At 41.6% G+C, this 13,235-nt stretch overlaps 1 protein-coding gene across 8 annotated transcripts in view; it reads left to right on the top strand.

Moving 5' to 3' along the window:
- EDC3 (enhancer of mRNA decapping 3) overlaps positions 1 to 13,235 on the top strand; it is a 65,467-nt gene that overhangs the window by 14,229 nt on the left and 38,003 nt on the right. For 4 of the 8 annotated variants that reach the window (NM_025083.5, NM_001142444.3, XM_047433143.1 and 1 more), the window contains 2 exons: positions 6,654 to 6,835; positions 10,022 to 10,341. In NM_025083.5, coding sequence (NP_079359.2) covers positions 6,672 to 6,835; positions 10,022 to 10,341 — 484 coding nt within the window. In that variant the 5' untranslated portion in view covers positions 6,654 to 6,671. Of the gene's footprint in view, positions 1 to 4,773; positions 4,856 to 6,653; positions 6,836 to 10,021; positions 10,342 to 13,235 lie in introns of all 8 variants that reach the window. The other 4 variants (XM_024450077.2, NM_001351378.2, NM_001142443.3 and 1 more) reach the window with 2 other exon arrangements.

Below are 13,235 nucleotides of genomic sequence, written 5' to 3'. Positions count from 1 at the left end.
TTTAGAGTTTGATGTTTTACATTTAAGTTCATGATACATTTTGAGTAAATTTTTGTATAAAGTGTGAACCTTAGTTTGAGGTTCATTTTTTTGCTGATGGATTTACATTTGCTCCAGCGCTATTTGTTGTAAAAACTATGCTGCCTGCATTGAATTGTTTTTGCACTTTGTCAAAAATCAGTTGGGCATATTTTTGTGAGTCTGTTTCTGGGTTCTGCCTTCTATTTTATCGATTTACATGTTTGTCCCTCTGCCAATACTATATAGTCTTGATTATCATAATTGTGTAAGTCTTGAAATCAGGTAGACTGATTGTTCCCACTTTCTTATAAAAAATTGATTTAGCAGCCAGGCGTGGTGGCTCACGCCTGTAATCCAGCACTTTGGGAGGCTGAGGTGGGTGGATCATGGGGTCAGGAGTTCAAGACCAGCCTGGCGAAGATGGTGAAACCCTGTCTCTACTAAAAATACAAAAATTAGCCAGGCGTGGTGGTGGGCACCTGTAATGCCAGCTACTCGGGAGGCTGAAGCAGAAAACTGCTTGCACCCGGGAGGTGGAGGTTGCAGTGAGCCGAGATTGCGCCACTGCACTCCAGCCTGGGCGACAAAGTGAGTCTCCGTCTCAAAAAAAATATTGATTTAGCTATTTTAGTTTCTTTGCCTTTCCTTGTAAATTTTAGAATAACCTTGTCTATATCTACAGATCTTGCTGGGATTTTGATAAGAATTGCATTGATCCTTTATACCAATTTGAGGAGGATTTATGTACTTTTTGTCGAGTCTTTTAATCCATGAACATGTTATATCTGTTATATTTAGCATTTTGATTTTTTCCTCAGTGTTGCATAGTTTTCAGTATACAAATCCTGTACCCTTTTTTTTTAGATTTACACCTAGTACTTTATTTTTTGAGCAATTGTAAATGGTATTGTATTTTAAATTTCATTGCCCATGTGTTCATTGCTAATATACTGAAATAAGATTGGCTTTTGTATGTTTATCTTGTATCCCACAATCTTGCTGAACTCACTTGTTCTAAGACTTTTTGTAGATTACGGGGAATTTCTACATAGACAGTTATGTCATCTGCAAATGGGGATAGTTTTGTTTTTTCCTTTACAAACTGTATACTTTTTTTATCTGTTTCTTGCTTTATTGCGAGAACTTCTAGAGCTGTGTTGAGTAATAGTGGATATCTTTGCCTTGTTCATGTTCTTATAGGGAAAGCATTCAGTCTTTCACCATTTAGTATAATGTTAGCTGTAGGGACTTTTTAGATCCCTTTACCAGATTGATGAAGTTCCTCTCTATTCCCATTTTTCTGAGAGGCTTTTTAAAAAAAGAATGAATGGGTGTTCGATTTTGTCAAATGCATTTCTGTGTCAGTTGCTATGAACATGTGTTTTTCTTATTTAGCCTGTTAATATGGTAGATTACATTGATTGGCTTTCTGATCTTGAGTCAGCATTGCATCCTTGGAATAAACTCCACCTGGGTGTGGTGTATAAATCTTTTTTTTTTTTTTTTTTTTTTTTGAGATGGAGTCTCGCTCTGTCACCCAGGCTGGAGTGCAGTGGTGTGATTGTGGCTCACTGCAAGTTCCTCCTCCTGGGTTCCCATCATTCTCCTGCCTCAGCCTCTCGAGTAGCTGGGACTCAGGAGCACGCCACCACGCCTGGCTAATTTTTTGTATTTTTAGTAGAGACAGGGTTTCACCATGTTAGCTAAGATGGTCTTGATCTCCTGACCTCGTGATCCGCCCACCTTGGCCTCCCAAAGTGCTGGGATTACAGGCGTGAGCCACCACACCTGGCTGGGTGTGGTGTATAATTCTTTATGTTTATTGTTTTGTTTTTTACTTTTATTTTAGAGATGGTGTCTTGCTTTGTTGCCCAGGCTGGAGTGCAGTGGTGTGATCATAGCTCACTCCATCCACTGACTCATGGGCCCAAGCTCCCTTCCTGCCTCAGGCTCCCAAGTAGCTGAGATTACTGGTATGCACCACTACACCTGTTTTTTTTTTTTTTTTTTTTTTTTTGGTAGAAATAAGGTCTCACTGTGTTGCCCAGGCTGGTTTCAAACTCCTGGCCTCAAGCTATCCTCCCACCTTGGCCTCTCAAAGTGCTGGGATTACAGGTGTGAGCCACTGAGCCTGGATCATTATTGTTGAATTGTTGGGTGATATTTTGATAAGGAATTTTATGTTTACATTCATGGGGGATAGTATTCTGTAGTTTTGTTTTTGTCTTATTGTTGTCAGGTCTTGGTATCAAGATAATATTTCTGTATTTACTGATGTGATAACGTTTATGATTTTCTCATTCTGTTAAAATGATTTAAAATTGATCGATTTTTAAAATATCAAACCAATTTTGCATTCTAGGAGTAGGGACCTAAATATATGTGATATATTAGACTTTTAAAATTTATTGCTGGATTTGATTTGTTAATATCTTGTTGAGGATTTTTGGTCTATATTTGTGCAGGATGTTGATCTTTTTCTTATAAAGCCTTTGTGGGGAGGCTTTCACGTCAGAGTTATACTAGCTACATTGAACAAATTGGGAAATGCTTCTTTCTTTTTTTTAATTTTTATTTTTGAGACAGAGTCTTGCTTTGTCACCTGGGCTGGAGTGCAGTGGCGCGATCTTGGCTAACTGCAACCTCCCCTCCTGGGTTCAAGCCATTCTCCTGCCTCTGCCTCTCGAGTAGCTGGGATTACAGGTGTGTACCACCACACCTGGCTAATTTTTTTTTTTGTATTTTTAGTAGAGATGGGGTTTCACCATGTTGGCCAGGCTGGTCTTGAACTCCTGAACTCAAGTGATCTACCCTCCTCAGCCTCCCAAAGTGCTGGGATTACAGGTGTGAACCACTGTGCCCAGCCTTTTTTTTTTTTTTTTTCTGAGACGGAGTCTCGCTCTGTCGCCCAAGCTGTAGTGCAATGGTGTGATCTCAGCTCACTGCAACCTCCACCTCCCCATTTCAAGCGATTCTTCTGCCTCAGCCTCTTGAGTAGCTGGGATTACAGGCACGTGCCACCATGCCTGGCTAATTTTTGTATTTTTAGTAGAGGCAGGGTTTCACCATGTTGGCCAGGCTGGTCACAAACTGCTGATCTCAAGTGATCCACCTGCCTCAGTCTCCCAAAGTGCTGGGATTACAGGCATGAGCCATTGCATCCAGCCTCATTCCCCTGTGTTTTCTAAAAGTTTGTATGAGATTGACATTATTTTTTTCCTAAAATGTTGGATAAAATTAACGAGTAAAGCTGTCTAGTTCAGACTTAGTTAAAAAGAAAAAGCCAGTAAAGCCATCTAGGCCTGGATTTTTCTTTGTAGGAAGGTTTTAAATTACATAATCAATTTGGTTTTTTCTATTAAATAGACTTTATTTTTTAGAGCAGTTTTAGTTTCAGGGAAAAATTGAGCCGAAAATACAGAGGGTTCCCATATATCTCACTGTTGTCCCCCAGTAAGCCCTCTCTGCTGTCAACATTCCACACCACGGTCGTGTTTGTTACAATTGATGAACCTACACTGACACTTCGTTGTCATCCAGAGTCCATAGTTAACATTAGGGTTCACTCTTGGTGTTGTACATTCTATGGGTTTTGAAGTGACACATATCTACCATTATAGTATCAAACAGAATAGTTTCACTGCCCTAAAAATTCTCTTGTTCACCTCCCACCCCCACCCCACTAACCACTGGCACCCACTGCTCCTTTTACTGTCTCCATAGTTTTGCCTTTTCCAGAAAACCTTGTAGCTGGAATCATATAGTATGTATGTATCCTTTTCACATTGGCTTCTTTCACTTAGTAATGTGCTTTTCAGTTTCCTCCATGTCTTTTCATGGCTTGATAGCTCATTTCTTTTTTGTGCTGAATAGTATTCCACTGTCTGGGTGTGCCATAGTTCATTCATCCATTCACCTACTGAAGGATGTCTTGATTGCTTCCGAATTTGAGCAATTTTGAATAAAGCTGCTGTAAACATCCACGTGCAGATTTATGGTGGATGTAAGTTTTCAGTTCATCTGGGTAAATACCAAGGAGAGTGATTGCTGGATCAGATGGTATATTTAGTTTTGTGAGAAACTACCTTATTAATATGCATATGCAAGCTAGGCACAGTGGCTCATGCCTATAAACCTAGCACTTAGGAGGCCGAGGCAGACAGATCACCTGAGGTCAGGAGTTCGAGACCAGCCTGGGCAACATGGTGAAACCCCTCTACTGAGAAAAAAAACAACAACAAAAATTAGCTGGGTGTGGTGGCACGTGTCTGTAGTCCCAACTACTTGGAAGGCTGAGGCAGGAGAATTGATTGAAGAGGCAGAGGCTGCAATGAGCTGAGATTGTACCACTGCACTCTAGCCTGGGCGATAAAGATAGAGTGAGACTCAGTCTCCAAAAAAAAAAAAAAAAAAAAGGCTGGGCATGGTGGCTCACGCCTGTAATCCCAGCACTTTGGGAGGTGAGGCGGGTGGATCATGAGGTCAGGAGTTCAAGACTAGCCTGACCAACATGGTGAAACCCCGTCTCTACTAAAAATACAAAAATTAGCCAGGTGTGGTGGTGCATGCCTGTAATCCCAGCTACTCAGGAGGCTGAGGCAGGAGAATTGCTTGAACCCGGGAGGTGGAGGTTGCAGTGAGCTGAGATTGTGCCACCGCACTCCAGCCTGGGCGGCAGAGTAAGACTCCATCTCAAAAAAAAAAAGAAAAATGCATACTCAAAGTGGCTGCATCATTTTGCATTCCTGTCAGCAATGAATGACGGTTTTTGTTGCTCCACATCCTCGTCAGCATTTGGTGTTGTCAGTGTTTTGGATTTCGGCCATTCTGACAGGTGTGTAGTGGCATCTTATTGTTGTTTTAATTTCCATTAATTCCCTGATGATATGATGTAGAGCATCTTTTCATATGCTTGCCTGCCGTGTCCATGTCTTCTTTGGTGAAGTATCCTTTTGGGTCTCTTGCTCATTGTTTCATCAGGTTGTTCATTTTCTTATTGTTGAGTTTTAAGAGTTCTTGGTATGTTATGGATAACAGACCTTTATCAAATATGTCTTTCACAAATATTTTCTCCTAATTTGTGTCTTGTCTTATTCTCTTGATAAATTCAGTTTTTAAAATAGACATGCAGCTACTCAGATTTTTAATTTCTTGTGTCAGTTTTGATAACTTTTGTCTAAGAAGTTCCCCATTTTGTCTAGTTGTCAAATTTGCTGGCATAAGGTTATTTTTTAATGTCTATGATGTCTCTTTGTTCATTTCTGATATTAATAATATGTGTTTTATCTTTTTTCTTTATTAGGTGTTTACCAACTTTATTAATATTTTCAAAGAGCTAATTTTTGTTTTATTTTTCTTAGTTGTTTCTTGTTTCATTGGTTTCTGCTCTTGATTTCCTTTCTATTAACATCAGGTTAATCTGTTCTTTTTTTACTAATACTTAAGATGGAAGCTTAGACAATTGATTTTAGACCTTTCTTTCCTAACAAGCACTTAAAGTTATAAATTCCCCCTTTTACGCACTATATTAAGCATGTCATACAAAAGTTGATGTTGTGTTTTCATTATCGTTGAGTTAGAACTATTTTCTGACTGCCCTTTTGATTTCTTCTTTTACCCATAGGTTATTTGGAAATGTCTTGCTTAATTTCCAAATATTTGGGAATATTCTAAATATCTATTTTTATCAATTTCAAATTTAATTCTGTTGTGGGTAGAGAATATATTTTATGTGATCTCAGTCTTTTTAAATTTATTCATACTTGTTTAAGGCCCAGCATATATGCGTGAACATTCTATGTAGACTTGAAAAGGATATATATTCTGTAGTCGTTAGGTTTAGTGTTCTATAGTACCTTCAATTGGCTTTAAAAAAATTTCTTTTTTTTTTTTTTGAGGCAGAGTCTCTCTCTGTCGCCCAGGCTGGAGTGCAGTGGTGTGATCTCGGCTCACTGCAACCTCCGCCTCCTGGGTTGACGCCATTCTCCTGCCTCAGCTTCCCGGGTAGCTGGGACTACAGGCACCCGCCACCACGCCTGGCTAATTTTTTGTATATTTTAGTAGAGACGGGGTTTCACCGTGTTAGCCAGGATGGTCTTGATCTCGTGACCTCGTGATCTGCCCGCCTCGCACCATTGCACTCCAGCCTGGGCAACAATAGTGAAACTCCGTCTCAAAAAAAAAAAAAACAACTATCCAGAATTTACTATTATTATTAATTATTATTATTATTATCATCATCAGCAAGAGTGGCATTATCAGTAATTTGTTTTTTTAATATATTATTTCTCAGCAACATACTCTCTTTGAAAACATTTTGACAGCAGATTTATTAAAATACAATATAAACAGATTATAGTTTGTGTGATTTGATGTGTAATAAATATCTTTATCCAATGTATGCGCTTTAAAGCAATTATAAGATCTTTATATGTATTAAATAATATTATTTTTTAATATTCATACTCCTGAAAAAAAATTTTAATTTTTTTAAGATTTATTACCTCAGTTAACAATGTGATAGAATATGTTTTATTAACCAACACTTGGTACAGAGCCTGATATATTTGCTGAATTTAATTAAAAGTTTGTCTTTTCACCAAGGCACACTGAATAGTTCCTTCTCTTCACAGTGGTCTCACGTGTGAAACATGGCTACAGATTGGCTGGGAAGTATTGTGTCCATCAATTGTGGAGATAGCTTGGGTGTCTATCAGGGAAGAGTGTCAGCTGTGGATCAGGTCAGCCAGACCATTTCTCTCACCCGGCCTTTCCATAATGGAGTGAAGTGTCTTGTTCCAGAAGTCACCTTCAGGTGAGTGTCCTGACTGACTCTTCTGAATCCAACCTGGTGGTCTGTGGAGCTTGAACCTAGGTCTGATTGCTAGTATTCTCTTGGCATATGGCCGCTTTTTGTATTTTTAGTAGAGATGGGGTTTCACTGTGTTGGCCAGGCTGGTCTCGAACTACTGGCCTCAAGTAATCTGCCCGTTGTGGCCTCCCGAAGTGCTGGGATTTCAGGTGTGAACCACCATGCCCGGCCTATACTGTTTATTTCCTCTTTGCATTCCGATATTCATTCCTTGGCCTCCCCTTTATTAAAAACAACCCTCTCCCTTAGATCTTGCATTTGCCACTAGGTATTGTTGTGTCATTTCCCTTCCCTTTAACCCATAATCCTTGTCAGAGCCAAATAATCTGCTTTCTCTATCTTTTGTGGCTTCATTCTCTAGAACCTCCGTACCCTACCATTATCTTTTTTTCTAACTTTGTCATCTTGCTGAATTAGTTTTTGCCAAGGTTACAAATAACCTAATGGCCAAATTCACTGACAGTATCTCAATCCCAATCTCATTTGAATGCTCCCTGATGGGTGCAGTGGCTTATACCTGTAATTCCAGCACTTTGGGAGGCCAAGGCAGCAGTATCACTTGAGGCTAGGATTTCAAAACTGGCTAGTCAACATAGTGAGACCTCGTCTTTACAAAAGAAAAATTTTAAAAATTAGCTGGGTGTGGTGGCATGTGCCTGTAATCGCAGCTACTCCTGGGGCTCAGACAGGAAGATCACTTGAGCCTAGGAGTTGGAGACTGCAGTGAGCTATGATAGCACCACTGCACTCCAGCCTGGGTAATAGAGCAAGACCCTGTCTGTAAAAAAATAAATAAAAATAAAATGCTCCCTATCTTTTAAAGTACAGTACTGTCCTTTAGTTTCCCTGTCACCTCTTTGGTTTTTCTTTGCATGTATTCCACATATTCCTCCATTCCTTTACTTTTTTTGTTGTTTTTTATGTTCCTTTTCTTCTACTCACCTGTTAAGATTGAATTACTCAGGGTTCTATCTTTGGTTCTTTTCTCAGCTTTTATTCTCTAGACAAACTCTTGTGTACTCTATATGTTAATGAGACCTCAAATCTTTTTTTTTTTTTTTTTTTTGATGGAGTCTCACTCTGTCACCCAGGCCGGAGTGCAGTGGCACGATCTTGGCTCACTGCAAACTCCATCTCCCGGGTTCATGCCATTCTCCTGCCTCAGCCTCCCGAGTAGCTGGGACTGCAGGTGCCCGCCACCATGCCCGACTAATTTTGTTTTTATATTTTTAGTAGAGACGGGGTTTCACCGTGTTAGCCAGGATGGTCTCGATCTCCTGACCTTGTAATCTGCCCTTCTCGGCCTCCCAAAGTGCTGGGATTACAGGTGTGAGCCACCATGCCCCAGCCAAGACCTCAAATCTTTAATTTAGTCCCATTATGAGACAGACACCTTGTCTGCTGGTCATTTCCATTGGACATCCCACAAGATATCTTAAATGCAAGATTTTCGGAGCTAATCTCGTTATGTTTTCCTGTAGATTTGTTTTTCCAAGGGCATACCCATTATTTATGACTAATAACACCTTTCCCCTATGTTAGAAACTTAGGAGTCATAATAAACTCTTCTTTCTCTTTAATCCTCGTGTTCAGTTAGTTGCCAAAATCGTATGGATTCGAAATGTCTCTTGATCCCTTCTCCCTTTGTATTACCGCTTGCTTGGTTCATCCCCTCTTATTTCTTGCTTGGTCTTCTAACTGGTACCACTGCCTCTTTTTTCTTCTCCTTCCCTATAGCCACCAGGAAAATCCATTGTGATCATGATGTGGTCCTTGGTTACCTCTGCAACCTTACTTCCTGATGGCCTTCCACAACATCCGTCCCTTTAGTATCACCATAACACTTGCAGTTCCTCACGTGGGCCATATTTTCTACATTTCCTCAGTCTCTGAGCCCCTACCTGAGATGCCTTTCTCCCTGCTGTTCTTTGCTTAGCCACTCATTCCCCCTGCCCTGGCCAGATTTAGCTTAAGTATTGCATTCATCTCCACCAGACTGACTTAAATATTTTGCTTTTAGGCTCTCTAGTCTCCTATGCACACCTCTGTCATAACATTTAACACTTAAAAAAAAAAATTTTTTTTTTTTGAGACAGAGTCTCACTTTGTTGCCCAGGCTGGAGTGCAGTGGTGCGATCTCTGCTCACTGTAACCTTTGCCTCCCAGGGTGAAACGATTCTCATGCCTCAGCCTCCTGGGTAGCTAGGATTGCAGGTGCGTACCACCACACCCGACTAATCATTTCTATTTAGTTGAGACAGGGTTTTGCCATGTTGACCAGGCTGGTCTCGAACTCCTGGCCTCAAGTGATTCGCCTGCCTCGGCCTCCCAAAATGCTGGGATTATAGGCATGAGCCATGGTGCCCAGTCCATTTAACACTTTTGATTGAATATGTACTTGTCTTTTCCACTGACCAGACTGAGTTCCTGTGGGCACGTAGTGGTTTTCATCTCTATATACCAGATCAAAATAGTTCATAGTGCAGGGCTTACCACATAGTAAGTATTTTATATACTCCTGTTGAATGAGCGAGGGAGTGAATGAATGAACAAAAGCCATTAAACATTGTGGGAATGTAAGATTAATACAGTTTTGTTGTTAGCAATAGCCTCTCTTTTTTTTTTTTTTTTTTTTGAGACAGAGTCTCGCTCTGTCGCCCAGGCTGGAGTGCAGTGGCGGGATCTCGGCTCACTGCAAGCTCCGCCTCCCGGGTTCACGCCATTCTCCTGCCTCAGCCTCCCAAGTAGCTGGGACTACAGGTGCCCGCCACTATGCCCGGCTAATTTTTTTTTTTTTTGTATTTTTAGTAGAGACGGGGTTTCACCGTTTTAGCCGGGATGGTCTCGATCTCCTGACCTCGTGATCCGCCCGCCTCGGCCTCCCAAAGTGCTGGGATTACAGGCGTGAGCCACCGTGCCCGGCCAATAGCCTCTTTTTAAAGGCTAGCATTGTGTCAGTTGGATAGTTGGTGGCTGACCCCTGTCCTTAAGCACACAGCCCCCTTTCCTAGCCTCTGATAACTCAATAAAATGCAGTCCTGCAAAGGGGTAGCTGTTTGCTAATGATCTCAGTTTCATCATTCTTACCACTATTATAATTTTGAGACTTGGCTTTTTTGTGTATTTCAGGGCAGGTGACATTACGGAGTTAAAAATTCTGGAGATACCAGGACCTGGAGACAACCAACATTTTGGAGACCTTCATCAAACAGAATTAGGCCCCTCTGGTGCTGGCTGCCAAGTGGGCATCAATCAGAATGGCACAGGCAAGTTTGTCAAGAAGCCAGCCTCTTCCAGCAGTGCCCCTCAGAATATCCCTAAGAGGACAGATGTGAAGAGCCAGGATGTTGCCGTTTCCCCGCAGCAGCAACAGTGCTCAAAGAGCTATGTCGACAGGCACATGGAATCCTTGAGTCAGTCCAAAAGTTTCCGTCGTCGGCACAACTCCTGTAAGTAGGGTCAAGTTGATATTTCTTCTCAATCTGGTGTTTCAGGGCTATAAGCCATAAGCACTGCTGCTCTTTAAACAAATCCTTTGTTATTCCAATAAAATGGATGCTGGCTGAGCGTCACAGAAATACAACATGGTTCTCTTCCTCCAGGCCTCATTCCTCAAGATGTTAAGGGAAAGGAAATAAGCTGTTAGGGATGCCTGTGAGCTTCCTGCCCTCTCTTACCACTTCCTTCAGGAAAAGTCTGCCCAGAGTTTACTAACAGTGATGTTTTAAATCCAGGAACTACTGGGCGTGGTGGCACGCATCTATAGTCCCAGCTACTTGAGAGGTTGAGGCAGGAGGATTGTTTGAGCCCAGGAGTTCAAGGCTAGTCTGGGCAAAATAGTGAGATTCTGTTTCTGAAAAAGAAAAAAAAAAAAACTTAAATCCTGTTACTGATGTTGGTAGTAGTGTTTGAGTTGAACCTGCACTTGGGCTGTTCCAGAGGATTCTTGAGTAACTTTTCTTCCTGTGATTTGAGTCTCATCCTCAGAAGAGAGGAGGGGACTGATCCAAACATCTCTGTGATCTTTGATTTTCTAGCAGACAATTTTTAATTTGCTGTATTTGTTCCTACTGACACACCAAGAAGAATGTGCATTGGTCTCTGTTGCTGCCCAGTTTTGTTTGATACTAACACATTATTAAATGCCATTTGCTGATTATAAAACCATAGTTGTGACCAGGCACGGTGGCTCACACCTGTAATCCTAGCACTTTGGGAGGCTGAGGCGGGCAGATCACCTGAGGTCAGGCGTTTGAGGCCAGCCTGGCCAACATGTTGAAACCTCGTCTCTGCTAAAAATACAAAAATTATCCGGACGTGGAGGTGCATGCCTGTAATCCCAGCTACTTTGGAGGCTGAGGCAGGAGAATCCCTTGAACCCAGGAGGCAGAGGTTGCAGTGAGCTGATATTGTGCCACTCCAGCCTGGGCGATAGAGCGAGACTCTGTCTCAAAAATAAAATAAATAATATAAAATAAAACCATAGTTGTGTTGGTGGTATGATGGTGAGCATAGCTGCCTTCCAAAACCATAGTTAATTCACTAGAACTGTTCTTCTCCAACATATTTACTAGAATAATGTTACAATAGCGAATCATAACATTCACTGGAATCTGTTATGCTCCTTAAATTAATATGAATGTTGTTTTAAAAAATTACTTCCAAATGCCAAACTATTCTTATTTTACTTAGATGGTTTTGTACTCACAGATGGTAGCAGAATGTATTAGAAATTTTAAGTGAGAGGCTGGGTGCAAGTGGCTCACACCTGTAATCTCACTACTTCAGGAGGCTGGGGCAGGTGGATCGCTTGAGCCCAGGAGTTCGAGACCAGCCTGAGCAACATGGCAAAACCCCATCCCTACAAAAAAAAAAAAAAAAAAAAAAAAAAAATTAGCTGGGCGTGGCAGCGTGCACCTGTGGTCCCAGCTACTCAGGAGGCTGAGGTGGAAGGATGGCTTGAGCCAGGGAGGCGGAGGTTGTGATTAGCCAAGATCATGCCACTGCACTTCAGCCTGGGTGACAGTGTGAGACTGTCTCAAAATGAACAACCAAAAGAAATTTTAAATGAGTATTCATTAACTCATTTAAAATTATAAGCTAGAGTCATGCTATGGCAATACCTTCTAAAAGGCACAATTTAGAGTGAGCTAGGTCTCTCTAGACCCCACTCAGAAAGTTTATTACATAAAATTCCGGATACTTCTTGCTACCATTGTTGCTCCTCACACTGTGGTCCTGGTGGCAATGTAGTAAGGTTTTAGTGTGCTGGGTGAATTCTATTAGTAGCTTGTGGTGTGACACCTGTGTCAGGGGCCAACATTTTAAGTTTTGGAGATGCCTGATTCAAGTGAATAAACAACTAAATTAAAACTAATTTTTTTTTTTTTTTGAGATGGAGCCTTGCTCTGTTGCCCGGGCTGGAGTGCAGTGGTGTGATCTTGGCTCACTGCAACCTCCACCTCCCATGTTCAGGTGATTCTCCTGCCTCAGCCTCCCTAGAAGCTGGTACTACAGGCACTTGCTGCCATGCCCGGCTAATTTTTTTTTTTTTTTTTTTGAGACAGAGTTTCGCTCTTATTGCCCAGGCTGGAGTGCAATGGCGTGATCTTGGCTCACCGCAACTTCCGCCTCCTGGGTTCAAAAGATTCTCCTGCCTCAGCCTCCCGAGTAGCTGGGATTACAGGCATGTGCCACCACGTCTGGCTAATTTTGTATTTTTAGTAGAAACGGGGCTCCATGTTGGTCAGGCTGGTCTCAAACTCTCGGCCTCCCAAAGTGCTGAGATTACAGGCATAAGCCACTGCGCCCGGCTAATTTTTGTATTTTTAGTAGAGATGGGATAATGCCATGTTGCCCAAGCTGATTTCGAACTCATGACCTCAGTTGATCTGCCTGCCTCGGCCTCCCCAAGTGCTGGGATTACAGACGTGAGCCACTGCACCTGGCCTAAAAAAATGTTTTAATGTATGTAATATACAGTTTCAAGGTAGTTTCCTTTGGTGCATATGAAACAACTATCTGAAATGACGATGTTTGCAAATATGAGACTGAAATTCAGTTGTGACTTCTGTATCCTTAGAAAAACTGTAGAATGCTTGGATAGAAAATGATTCTTTCCATTTAGACTTTAACCTTTTTCTTTCTTTCTTTCTTTCTTTCTTTCTTTCTTTCATTCATTTTTGAGACAGGGTCTTGCTTTGTCACTCAGGTTGGAATGCAGTGATACGATCACAGCTCACTACAGCCTTGAACTCCCAGGCTCAAATGATCCTCCCACCTCAGCCTCCTGAGTAGCTGGGACTACAGGTGTGTGCCACCATACCTGGCTAGTCTTTTTACT

This window comes from Homo sapiens, chromosome 15 (genome assembly GCF_000001405.40).
Source record: "Homo sapiens chromosome 15, GRCh38.p14 Primary Assembly".
NCBI lineage: Eukaryota > Metazoa > Chordata > Mammalia > Primates > Hominidae > Homo > Homo sapiens.
Note: the sequence above shows the minus strand (reverse complement) of the source record. Positions and strands in the feature narration are given on the sequence as shown.